Source organism: Homo sapiens, chromosome 11 (genome assembly GCF_000001405.40).
Source record: "Homo sapiens chromosome 11, GRCh38.p14 Primary Assembly".
Taxonomy (NCBI): domain Eukaryota; kingdom Metazoa; phylum Chordata; class Mammalia; order Primates; family Hominidae; genus Homo; species Homo sapiens.
In genome coordinates this window covers 85692419-85706460 of record NC_000011.10, presented here as the reverse complement: position 1 = coordinate 85706460, position 14042 = coordinate 85692419, and the positions used below count along the sequence as shown (strand labels likewise).

At 36.9% G+C, this 14042-nt stretch overlaps 1 protein-coding gene across 71 annotated transcripts in view; it reads left to right on the top strand.

Moving 5' to 3' along the window:
- SYTL2 (synaptotagmin like 2) overlaps nt 1-12232 on the top strand; it is a 160642-nt gene extending 148410 nt beyond the window's left edge. For 57 of the 71 annotated variants that reach the window (NM_001394468.1, NM_001394462.1, NM_001394458.1 and 54 more), the window contains 5 exons: nt 1433-1603; nt 5868-5946; nt 8383-8482; nt 10073-10278; nt 11121-12232. In NM_001394468.1, the coding sequence (NP_001381397.1) occupies nt 1433-1603; nt 5868-5946; nt 8383-8482; nt 10073-10278; nt 11121-11266 (702 nt within the window). In that variant the 3' untranslated portion in view covers nt 11267-12232. The remainder of the gene's footprint in view (nt 1-1432; nt 1604-5867; nt 5947-8382; nt 8483-10072; nt 10279-11120) is intronic. The other 14 variants (NM_001394471.1, NM_001394472.1, XM_047427174.1 and 11 more) reach the window with 1 other exon arrangement.

Below are 14042 nucleotides of genomic sequence, written 5' to 3'. Positions count from 1 at the left end.
CTGCTGCCTCAGTAATCTTGCTTTATAGCAGGATATGTTAACAGCAGTTTAACTAGTGGTTTTATTGTCTTCCTTGCCACTAAATTGTAAGTTCCATGAGGGTAGGGACCAACTTGGTGTTGTTTGTAAACTGTGTGTCTTTGGGCACCTCAGATCTGCCAAGTCGGGTTAATGCTAGTTTTCAGATTTGCAAAAGGAAGATAATAATAGTACTTACCTACCTACCTTAGCAGTGGAGAACAGTAAATTAGTTAATTTGTGTGAAAGATCAACACACATTAAGCATTTAATAAATCTTGATCCTTAATCTGGGATAGGTATTCAAAATATGTTTACTGGAAAGATAAATGGACAGATGAATAGAAAGTATACTTGGCTCATATTCTTTTTCTTCCCAAAACTACATCATGCTGCCTTAGTCATGACTAACAGATCATTTAAAACTAAAAATAAGTGTTGTTCATTCCCTCTTTCTGAAAACTCTGTCCAAGTATTTGATCATCCTCTGGAAAAATAAGCAGTTAAATCAACACTCAGTCATCCATGGTCTGAATTAACCACCTGTAGAATTTTTGTACCAAGTTTTTAATTACAGTTTGACTATGATATACCCTAGTACCCTGGCTATTTCTGGGTCAGCTACTTCAACCCTATACTCAGGAAAAGCCAGATAATTTAAATGTTAAGCTCAGAGAAAGGCAGACTTACTACAACCACAGTGGACATTCAAGTAGTACATCATGAAGCCAAATGGAAATTATTTTTAGATTAGAAGTACTATTGTCCTTTCCATGATTATATGTAATTAAAGATTGACTACATTTGAGATGAAAAACTGTTAGGATGCCAGACCTTTTCTACTTGGCCATATGCAGCAGGAAAAGACAAGTTTATTTATTTATTTATTTTAAATACCTCATCTGTGTGGGATGTTGATAGTGGGGGAGGTGTGTGTATGTGGCAGCATACATGGCATATGGGAACTCTGTTCTTTCTGCTCAGTTTTGCTGTAAACCGAAAACTGCTCTAAAAAGACTATTTTAAAAAAGACCTTGTTCTTAAGTAGAAAACAGAGAATTCGGTTACATTTGATTTGTATTTTAGACTCAATTTTGTATTACATCTAGTCTAAAAATATTCAGCGAAAATTGAAAAACTGGCTTTTATTGTTAGAGAGCTATTACCAACTATGATATCTGAGCCTTGGTTTGCTTTTCCAGAGTGGGGAAGCAAATCAGCTTTTATGAAAGATGGATTTTAGCTCTTTGAAACAAGATGCTTAGAATAAGATGACTTTGCAATATTTTTGGGACTCGAAACCTAACAGATAAGAAAATTTGCTATATACAGATGAATTTCTCTTCATCTCTGTGTTATAACTTTGGCATCAAGTAATGTTTTTCATCATTTAATTTTCTTCTTTGAACTTCAGTATAAAATTGAAAAACAAATCTTAAAGACACAGAAATTGAACCTGTCCATTTGGCATCGGGATACATTTAAGCGCAATAGTTTCCTAGGGGAGGTGGAACTTGATTTGGAAACATGGGACTGGGATAACAAACAGAATAAACAATTGAGATGGTACCCTCTGAAGCGGAAGGTGAGTCCGGAATTTTTTGTTTGTTTATTTGGTTGGTTGATGTGGTACCTAGTGTATAGGAAAAAGCTTAATTGCATTTAATTCAGAGTACAGATCTGTAGTTTGGGAGAATTTTAAACTAGAGGAAAAAAAAGAAAGGTAAAAAAGGTTATTGGGAACATGTTTAAATCATTTAACACAAATGTTTCAGAGACTTCAGGAAGGTCTTTTAAATAATTCAGTCCTTTGAAATTTGATACTGACTTTTAGCCTAATATTTGGCTGAATTTTGATAAATGTTCCATGTGTTACTTGAGACCAAAGTGTATTCAATGATTAAAGGATGTAATGTTCTATATTTATCAATTAAGTCAAAACTAGTTCCTGAAATCTTTTATATCCTCATGGGTTTTATGTCTGTGTGTACTGTGAATTACTAGGAGAGTTACAATTGTGAATTTGTCTTTTTCTCCTTTTAGTTTTATTATTTTTGATTCACTATATTTGAGATTGTCTTATTACATATACATACAACTGTAATTGTTATATTTTCTTGATGAATTAACCATTTTATCATTTTGAAATTCCCTTTTTATCTCTAGTAATGCTTATTGCCTTAAAATCTACTTTGCCTGTATTTATATAGCTCTATTAGCTTCCTTTTGATTAGAAGTTTGTTTCTATCTTTTGATTTTCAGCCTTTTAAAATTCTTATAGTTCAGATATATTTTTATAAGCAATAGTTTTGATGTTTTTCCAGTCTTAAAATATTTGTCTCTTAATTGGATTATCTAGTCCATTTGCACTTAATATAAATATTGATGTATTTGGGTCCAAATCTAGTATCTTACTATTTGTCCTGTTTTCTTATTTTCGTAATTGCCTCCTTTGGGATTATTATTCCATTTTTTCTCTCTCTTAATATGTCAGTCATAGTTTATTTTCATTTTTCTTTATTAGTTCCTGTAGAGATTATAATATGCACCCTTGAATTCAAACTGTAATATAAATTAGAACTTTTGCCACTTTCAGAACAGTGGAAGGAACCAAGAACATTTTAACTCCATTTACCCATTCTCTCATCCTTTGTGCTATTTTTGGTCATGTTTTAATTGTATATATTTTTAAGTCCCATAAGACATTACCGTTATTGTTTTATACGGTCTATTAATTTAGATTTAACCACATATTTGCCTTTCCCTTGCTCTTTATCCTTTCCTGGATTTATCCGTGGAGTTGTTTCTTCTGTTCAAGACTCTCCTTTAGTTTTACTCTTAGTGAATATCTCCTGGCAACAGATTATTTCAGATTTTCTTGGTATCATAACATCTTTTTCAATCTTGGAGGGATATTTTTGCTCTGTTGCTAGGTTGACAATTATTTCTTTCAGTGTTTTGAAGATGTCATTTCATAGTATTTGGTCATTTCTGTTGTGAAGTCAGCTGTTAGTCTTATTTTTGCTCCTTTGAAGGTTATGTGTTCTTTTCCAGATTTTAGGATACTTTTCTTTGTCTTTGATTTTTAGCAATTGTACTATAATGAGCCTAGGTGTAGTTTTCTTTAATTTATCCTGAGGTTTGGGGTTCAGTGAGCTGCTTGAATCTATCTATGTTTTGGTATCTTTCATCACTTTGAAAATTTCTCAGCAACTATTTCTTCAAATATTACTTTTGCCCCACTATTTTCTCCTCTCCTTCTGGAAACTCCAATTACAAGTATGTTATACCTTTTTATTCTGTCCAACATGTCTCTTATGGTCTTTTCTGTATACTTTTTTTCTTATATTTCAGTCCATGTTTTGCTAACCTTTTCACAATTCAACAATTTTATCTGCTATGTCTATTCTGTTGTTAAAACCATCTACAATTTAAGCCAATCTATAATATAAAGCTTATATTTTCGAAAGCATATTTTCTTTTGACTATTTTGATTCCATTTCTCTCCTAAAATTCTCTATCTTAACATTGTCTTTAAAAATATAGCATGCAAAGTTATTTAATGTATGTACTTAAAAATTCCAGTATCTTAAACATTTGTGAGTCCTGCTTATCTATTTTTTAAAATCTTAGTTTGGACACTTAGTTCTTTGTCTTGGTATGCCCGTTCATTTTTTGATCATATGTGGGGTATTGCATATGAGAACGTTCTAGGAATAATTGGGGAGGATTTACTTTTGCTTCTGATACAGCAGGCACAGACCACCTTCATTTAATCTGGGAATAAACTGACTTTGAAGCACAAGCCCAGTTTTCATGTGATCTGGTCTAGTTTTTGTTTGCTTATATTCCTAGGCTAAGGCCCTTCAGAGGTTCCAACTGAAAGCCATGGGAAATAGTTCTCAAAATCAGCATGCATCTGATTCACCTGAAGGACTTATTAAATCACAGATTCTGGGGCTGGGTGCGGTGGCTCTCAGCTTTAATCCCAGCACTTTGGGAGGCTGAGGTGTGGATTGCTTGAGTCCAGGAGTTGGATGGAGACAAGCCTGAGGAACGTGGCAAAACCCTGCCTTTGCAAAGAAATTAACCAGGCTTGGTGGCATGCACCTATAGCCCCAGCTACTCAAGAGGCTGAAATGGGAGGATCACTTGAACCCAGGAGGTGGTGGTTGCAATGAACTGAGATCACGCCATTGCACTCCAGTGTGGGCAACAAAGCGAGACCCTGTCTCAAAAAAAAAAAAAAAATAGACCCACTAGATTCTGAGCCCTATTCCCAAGGTTTACGGGCCCAAGAATATACATTTTTAACAGGTTCCCTGTCAATGCAGCTGACCTAGAAACGGTACTTTGAAAACCACTGGTCTAGAGTGTTTTTCCAGTGCCATTCCTTCTTGACAGGCCGTGGGCTCCAAGTTTTGTCTCCCCAGCCTCATGAAACTGCTAAAAGTCCTGCTTACCTTTTCAGTCTCATTCTGTTAGGCTTTTTATGTGCTCAGTTTGGCACTACTTAAATGTCTCAAAGTGAAAAGCAGAGAAGAATGTCAGACTCTAAGATCTTGTTCATTTGAGTCCTGTCTGTGTTAATAATTCTTTAGCACTTTCAAACTGATATTTAAAATCCCACCTTTTAAATTGTTATTAGTTTAGGGGTTGATGTGATCCAAGCTAGTCCATCATAGTAGGAAGTGATAAATATAAATAACTAATACAAACCATAACTTAGTGTCTACACAACAGTGGAACTGTTTTAGTTCCACTAAAGAAATGGTTCTCAAATGTTATATCAAAATCACTTGAAGCACTTATTTCTAGCCCTACCCAAGACCTGAACTCCTCAGAAGATATCAAAAGCATCTCATTTTTAACTGGCTACCATTACGTTTCTGATACATACCCATATTTTGAAAATAAAGCTCTAAAGAGCCAGAATTTGAAAGTAAAAAACTATCTTATGCAGGTTTCTTATACAGGTTTAGCATCCCTAATTCAAAAATTTCAAATCCATAATGCTCCAAAATCTGAAACTTTTTGAGTGCCGATATGATGCCGTAAGTGGAAAATTCCACACCTGCTTCATGTGATGGGTTGCATAAAGTTATTAAAAATGTTATATAAAATTACCTTCAGGCTATGTGTAGAAGATGTATATGAAACATAAATGAATTTTGTGTTTAGACTTGGGTCCCATCCCTAAGATATCTCATTACGTATATGCAAATATTACGAATTTCAAAAAACAAATCCGAAATCTGAAACTTTTCTGATCCCAAGCATTTCAGATAAGGAATATTCAACGTGTACTTGAAAATAACAGATAGAAGTTTAAAAAATTATTGTTCAGTCTTTGTTATACTTACAGACTTCTATGCATTTGGCCTAAAATAATCAGATTAGTGCAGCTTTGAAAATGTAAGATATGGCCTTTCCCCCCTTACTTTCACACACTATCTCATACTCCTTCAAATAAAGGGAATACAAATAAATTGTTTTATATGCTGGCTGAATAGCTAACAAAATATTTGTGTTTTGATCAAAATTAAAGCATTCAAAGAAACCTCTCCCATCTCCAAGAAAGCCATTCTGGTTTCTTCACCATCTTTGAGACTAAAGGCCTTGAAATATTTTCTGGGTATCCTGCAAGATTTTTCAAGATATACAACCTAGTTTTCCCAGGTATTAAGGCAACAGTCTAGTTCTGATGCAGAGAGAAATTTTAATCCAGAGCACTCATGAGTGACACATGGTCCCAGAAATGGGACAGATATGGTTCTGTAATGAGACCTATACCAACAAACAGGATGAAAAGTTTGTCTCCCACCTGCTGACATTTCTTCACTTTTCAGACAGCACCAGTTGCCCTTGAAGCAGAAAACAGAGGTGAAATGAAACTAGCTCTCCAGTATGTCCCAGAGCCAGTCCCTGGTATGTAATGACTTTCTATTCAGATTTATGTCCTTTCCTTATCCCTCCCTTCTCACAGTATTTACTATGCGTTTTCAAAGGTGAGGCCCTAAAGAAACTTATCAAGTTAGTAACGTATAGACCAAATGAGTCTATTCACAGTTGTAAATAAGAAAATTCTTTTTTTGTTATTGTGGCAAAAAAAAAAAAAAAAGAAAACATAAAATCTACCATCTTCACCATTTTTAACTGTACAGCTTAGTAGTGCTAAGTATATTCACACTGTTGGGAAACAGATCTCCAGAACCTTTTCATCTTGCAAATCTGAACCTGTTTATCTATTAACCAACAATTTCCTTTTCCTCTACTACCAGCTTCTGGTAATCATCATTTTACTTTCTGTTTCTATAAGAAAGTTCTCATTTTTTTTTTTAGTTTAGTTTATAGTCATTAGGTTTCACCTCACTCTCCAAAAATTTGTATCTGCACAATGTGAATGGCCTGTATTCAGAATTTGTGTATTCCTGTGTTTGGAATTTGGACTTATTGATAGTGCTATAAGAATAGAACCTGAGTGTTCTTTTTCACAGGTGGGAATTAAGAGGACTCCAGAGAACTTAAAGCTCATTCACCCTCCACTCTCAGGGTCTCATTAAGAGATAAAGCTTTTCCCTCAAGATTATTAATTGCCTCCTTGTCAGGTCTTCAGCCCAGTTAAGGAGCAAGAGACTAGCAGGAAATGAATGCCAGCCAGCTCCTTGCTCCATTTCCCAAGCAAGTTCCCCAAGTTAGTCTCTTTAAGAATCTGTATGAATGTTATGGCTGAAATCAGAGGTTGTAAACTCAAATGCTTTCAGTAACCAGGCAGTGAAGCTAGTGAGATGGAAGAAATAATTGATGGTGAGGATAGTGACTGAACTAAAGAAAAGCATTCTGATGTAGTTTATACCGCCCCCCGCCCCCCAAAAAAGAAAGAATTAGAGGGCAAGTAAAGCATATTTTCAGGCTGGATTGCTGTCAGACTGCCACCTTTGAACTTCTGGATTTTCCTAAAAGGTAGATTCTTTTGCATATAATTTGTATCCTATCATTTAAAGTCAACATTCATAGAAATCCCATTTCCCTTTTTCCTTCTATCACTTGGTAGTAGAGGGCAGGGGTATTGTGTGTTGTGATGGGTGCCACCATGTCTGAATTTTTGTCCACGTAGTTTTTCTTCTTTGAAATGGCTTCCTCTTCTCCTCAACCTACCAAAGTCTTAGATGAAGCCCCATCTCCTCCATAAAGCTTTCCCTAACTATATTAGATCTCACTGATCATATCATCTTCTAGAACATTACAGTAATAACTTGGAGTTTCACTGTATATTACATTTTTATCATTTTATTTGAATTATTCTCTCCAACATAACTATAAACATTTCCCAAGGGCATAGATTATTTCATGTATTCTCTGTATATCTAATGATGTTCCTAGCATAGCATAGAGATGAGCTTATGATAGATCCTCACTAAGTACTGTTTGGTTGACTGATTGAGCTAACCCATTCAGAAAAATCTGGTGGCATTCCTCTGTTCGTATGAACCCAGCCTAGACAACAATTTCAGACTAAGCCAACTTCTTAGTAACTATCTGCCCATAATATTAACTATTACGTATGTACATACAGTATCCCTATAAAATGTTTAACCACTCTTGACTGGGGGTGGTGGCTCACGCCTGTAATCCCAACACTTTAGGAGGCTGAGGCTGGTGGATCCCTTGAGCTTAAGAGTTCAAGACAAGCCTGGGCAACATGACGAAACTCTGTCTCTACAAAAATTTAAAAATTAGCCAAGTGTGGTGGCACATGCCTGTAGTTGCAGCTCCTCTGGGAGGGCTGAGGTAGGAGGATCACTTGAGCCCAGGAGGTTGAGGCTGCAGTGAGCCATGATTGTGCCACTGAACTCCAACCTGGGTGACAGAGTGAGACCCTGTCTCAAAAAAAAAAGTATAACTACTCTTAAAAATGACTATACCTTAGCCAATACCTGTTTTGGTTACTTTATACCCAAATATGTTTTAAATGTCTTCCACTAGCACCAACTGATACTGGTATTAATGTTTGCAAGGTATATGCATTTCATTGAAATGTTTTGAATATAACTGTAAATGGATGATTCACATTCCTGGTGTTTGATTTTGTTGAATCAAGCAAAACCCCAAATGAATGATGTGCTAATGATGTAATACTTGGTACTTAAAGCCAATATGAATTATTTTTATAGAGCTATCGAGTTCAGTAAAACCAGATTATGAAGACTTAGTTAAGACTGTATAGATTTAATCAGTTCAGATGATATCATCAAATACTAGCTAGTATCTCCATGCCAGAACATTTTTAGGCTGACATCTTTGGACGCAGTATTGCCAAGGGAGAACTGGCAGTGAAAATTTTCTCTTCTTTTTCTATTGTAGGTAAAAAGCTTCCTACAACTGGAGAAGTGCACATCTGGGTGAAGGAATGCCTTGATCTACCACTGCTAAGGGGAAGTCATCTAAATTCTTTTGTTAAATGGTAATAGTATTGATGACTCTGTCTGCAACAGTTCTGTAGCCTGGTCTTTGCTGGTTAGTTTCGGTTCTCTATATCTGTAATACTGACTCATCATTCATAATTTAAATGAATTTACTTGGGATAATGGAGACATGAATTGGAGGAATCTATATCATGAACTCTCAAGGCTTCATTTGGCTTTAAAATCATAAAGTAAGAGGTCAAATGAAACTAGAGACCTCATACTCAATGTGTAATGTGTTCTAGGGAAAACATCTGTTGGTGAGGGCAATAATCAGTTCAAAAGAGTTTATTAAATTTCTAATGGTAAGATGTCACACCCCTTGACTCCTTTATGGAGCAGGGAGAATTCCTTCTCTCCTTTGTCCCACCTGTTTTGTGGCCTATTTGCAAACGGTCATTGTATGAGACTGCAGATATTTGGAAAATGATTTGCTAATCAACCCTTACTAAGAGCTTGAGACAGTTTGGGTTTTTAAGTGGCAAACTCTTCTCTCTGTTATACATATAAAGTGACTGGCATCTAGTAAATAATAACTAAACAGATATTAGTATGCTCTCCTAGTTTCTCTAATTTTATTTATATATAGTCTACCAGAAGACCAACTGTAGCTTTTTAAATATATGTGACATATATCTGGTACAGCGAGGTGTCTCACGCCTATAATTCCAGCACTTTGGGAGGCCAAGGCGGACGGATCACTGGAGCCCAGGAGTTCAAGACCAGCCTGGTCAACATAGCCAAACCCCTTCTCTATTAAATAAATAAATATATATGTGACATATATCTAAGTAGCATAGATGATATTATTTATGATTTTCCCTACACATTATCTTTATAGATGTCAGCTGGTAAGATTTTTTTGGCTCAAGTCAGCCTCATTCTAAGACCAAGTCAGTCAGTCACATTCTGAGACCATTCACAGACCTTCTTGCCTTGTGTTGCCACTTGTATTGTCTTATATTGCCACTTACAAGAGGCATGGTAGGTTAAAGTTCATTTAATTGTTATCATAAATGAAATGTAAGTGATTGTAAAAAAAAAATTACATAATTTATTTCCAAAGTCAAATCTAGCAATTTGGAGAGGTTTCTCTTCTTTTTCTATTCTGTATAACACAAATGTCTTAGGCTATCACAGCTAATCAGGATAGCCTGTGCTTGCAAATTTTAAAGGAATCCTCAAATGATTACTAGCATATTAAGCACTTACTAAATGCAGGCATGGAGCTAAGTGTTTTGCATATGTTATTTAATTCTAATTTTAGCCTTATGAAATCAGCATCACCATTCCCATTTTATAGATGAAGAAGCAAGTGTCCGTAAGGTTGAGTAACTTTCCCTAAAATGCATACCCAGGAGGTAGCAGAGTCAGGATTCAAACCAAGTATAGCTGACTCTAGGTCCAGAGTCTTTTCAGCATGATGTGTTCCTACCCCCTACCCCACTGTCTGCCAAACCACCACCACCACTATCTCTCCACATCTTTTCCTCCATTGTCAATCTTTAATAGCTGTGTTGTTATGTATTGAAAGCATGAATGTTCACTATCTTACTAAAATGCTCCCACAATCATGCCTCTTTTTGTAGTACCATCCTTCCAGATACAAGTAGGAAAAGTCGCCAGAAGACAAGAGCTGTAGGGAAAACCACCAACCCTATCTTCAACCACACTATGGTGTATGATGGGTTCAGGCCTGAAGATCTGATGGAAGCCTGTGTAGAGCTTACTGTCTGGGACCATTACAAATTAACCAACCAATTTTTGGGAGGTCTTCGTATTGGCTTTGGAACAGGTACTGTTTGCTACATTTTTAATTCTCCATGAGCCAAATTTTTCTAGAGATACTAGAGGTTTGTTTGTTGCTTTGCTTCTTCCCAGTGAAAACCGAGATATCCTGAAAACAGATATCTCTTAAGTATAGTGAAATAAATGAGTAAAGAAATGTCAGGTTGTATGCCAAGGGCTCCAGATATGAGGATTAACAGGGTGAAGTGTCTCTGCATATAGAGTTTAAGTTATTGTGGCAGTGGCAGGGACAGAAAAGCCTTCATCACTAGTCTGCCCTGCAAAAACATTTATGGTCCTTCAAGGCTAAATATATGCTTTGAGTAATAACAATAACATTTTTGGAGCACCAGTCACTGTATTAAATGCTTCATTTACATTATTTCATTGAATCCTCACAAGTCTATGAGGTAGTTACTAATGTTACCCCAAAGGAACTGATAGTCCAAGAAAGTAAGTAACATAGCTACAAAGTGGCAGAGCCAAGATTCAAAATTGAGTCTGTTAGACACTAAAGCCTTAGTCACACTAACCTAGAGATTATCTAGTGTCATCTCCAACCCAGTGCAGGAGTCCTCCCAACTCCCTTATTCCCTGATGAATTTTCATCTGGCCTTTACATTAACTTGAAGAAAAATCATTGCTCTAGGAATTATGGTAATGATTACAAACATGAAGTCACTCAGACAATTGAACAGTTCTTCCTTATGTTGAGTCTCACATCTGCCCTCCCAGTGAAGAAAGCTCCTCCTAGCTTCCACTGGTGGTTATAATTAGGGAATAACTTTCCCTCTTTCCCCTACCCCCAATGAGCTGTTTCTTTCTAAATGCAAAGCTTCCTTTTTTCAGGTAAAAGTTATGGGACTGAAGTGGACTGGATGGACTCTACTTCAGAGGAAGTTGCTCTCTGGGAGAAGATGGTAAACTCCCCCAATACTTGGATTGAAGCAACACTGCCTCTCAGAATGCTTTTGATTGCCAAGATTTCCAAATGAGCCCAAATTCCACTGGCTCCTCCACTGAAAACTACTAAACCGGTGGAATCTGATCTTGAAAATCTGAGTAGGTGGACAAATATCCTCACTTTCTATCTATTGCACCTAAGGAATACTACACAGCATGTAAAAGTCAATCTGCATGTGCTTCTTTGATTACAAGGCCCAAGGGATTTAAATATAACAAAATGTGTAATTTGTGACTCTAATATTAAATAAGATATTTGAACAAGCTAGGAAAATTGAATTTCTGCTGCTGCTTCAAAGAAAAAGCTGCCCCAGAGCATTAAACATGGGGTATTGTTAAGAAGCAAAATGTTCTTGTTTGCCATCATGTGTTTCACACCACAATTCTGTGCCACAGTTAAGAGGGTCTGGTACCCTTGCAGGACCTTTGTAGGTTGTGGGAAAAAGTCGCAGAAAGATACTCAAAGTGGAGCAGGGAATGGAGACAGACATCAGTGATGATAAAAAAAAAAATGGACCTTAAGAAACTATTTACTCTGTAATCTCTAATAAAATATGGAATTCCATATTAGGGCAATGAGACTGAAACTACTGGTGTTTTTCTGCCTTGAGAAAACAAACAGTTAAAACAAGCCTCAAATGTATTTTAGTGCCACCCACTGGCCATAGGTACAATTCAGTTGTTGGCTTGTTTTGACTTAATTCTAAAATAGGTCTCAAGCCTGTATTTTTATGAGTTTATTTTTTTAAAACCCTGCATATATATGATTGTTTTTCTTATAACTTTACTATATGAAAGCAGCATAAGAGTAGTCACAAACATGTTTTGCAACAAAGTTTTAATTAGAATGTAAGTTGCTCAGTTATACTGTTCTTCTTATGTATGTAAAATTTTCGTATTTTGTAAAAACCCTTAGAATAAATTATCATTTGATTTAAATTGTATTAGAAAATTAGCGTGACTTCTCATTTTAAATAAAATATTTTAGGAATTCTAAACATCTAAATTTCCTAACAAGGCTAATGAACTTCTTCTGGGCTAATGTTTCTGCAGTCTTCACTGCAATTCTGGGCATCATCTCCCCTAAGTGGGCAACTTTGGCTATGTTATTAAGAGTAGGATTTTTATTTTTATTTATTTTGTTTTAAAGGACATAGCAGATCTCAAGGATTTTTATTTTTTTTTAAGTAGTTAAAATGCTTTGGGGATGATTTTAGTATATGAAGCACATTACTCTCCCTTAGGACCCAACCAGCTTAATTTTCTGAAAACAAGCACTGATTTAATGTAGGTTCAAGAAAGCCTGAGTGACAGGCGAACATGGGATCTTACAACAAGCATCTCATAAATGTCATTGAAAACAACTAGAATGCTTGCCTGTTCTTCCTGAACAGATACTAGAACGTTCTACCCACTTGTCAATAAGAGTGACTAATCTAGGTCAATGCCCTTTCCATTGTCTCCTCAGGTCTTTTTTTTTTTTTTTTTGAGATGGAGTGTCGCTTGGTCACCTAGGCCGGAGTGCGCTGGCGTGATCTCGGCTCACTGCAACCTCTGCTTCCCGGGTTCAAGCAGTTCTCCTGCCTCAGCCTCCTGAGTAGCTGGGATTACAGGTGCCCACCACCATGCCCGGCCAATTTTTGTATTTTTAGTAGAGATGGGGTTTTACCACGTTGGCCAGGCTGGTCTCGAGAATTCCTGACCTTGCGATCTGCCTGCCTCGGCCTCCCAACCCAGGTTTTTTATTAGAGTGCTTAGTCTAGCTCTATTTATCATTCCCGCTCTGACCTTAAGGAAGGGCAAAATGAGCTAATTAGAGTCACGCTTCTAGAGCACAGCGGTAGAAGCACAAACCCTGTTCTGGCTTGTGCCAGATCATAGTACAAGCTACTTCCTCAGGCTTTCTTTCAGTTACCTGTAAAACCAGCATCCAGCCAGCTCTGGAGCAATAATGAGATTGGCTCCATTATCTCCCCATCTAGGACCAGGACTGCCTGTCTCATCCTATCCCCCGATCCCTCATCTTCAAAACACCAAAGTGGGAAATAGAACCCCCCACCTTCTTTGCATCTATCCACAGCACTTCTGACTGCCTCAAGAAGTCCAAGGAGAGGTTTCACATGAAAAAAAAATATAAATCATAAATTTAATCTTCCCTGGTTCAAAAGGAAGGCTAAGTGTGAGCTTCATGCTTTATAAAATGTAAGCACGGCTGGGTGTGGTGGCTCATGCTTGTAATTCCAACACTTTGGGAGGCTGAGGCAAGAGCATTGATTGAGGCCAGAAGTTCAAGACCAGCCTGGGAAGCATAGCAAGATCCCATCTCTAGAAAAACTAAAAAAATTAGCTGGGCATGGTGGTGTGTGCCTGTAATCCTAGCTACTTGGGAGGCTGAGGTGGGAGAATTGCTTGAGCCTAGGAGTTTGAGGCTGCAGTGAGTTTTGATTGTGCCACTGCACTCCAGCCTGGGAGACAGAAGGAGATCCTGTCTCTTTAAAAAAATGTAGGCAACTTGAATTCTTTAGTGAACTCAGGTTGACATGCTTTTGAGTCAGTGTAACTTTTAGGCAAAGACCCTCCTAAAACTTCAAAGTACATTTTTCTAAGCTAGAGGCATTCCTTGAACTGCATATTTTAGGGCTTTTTTTTTTCAGAAGCCCAACTGGTAATAAGCCAAAAAGGAGGATTTATTGGAAATATACTGGGTTAGCTCACAGAGTAAAGAAGTACTGCGGGAACCTAGGTTATTTTGGGGACTTGCAGGCTGGAACTAGAGACTCAGATGTGGTCTCTTTTCTTCAGGGAGTG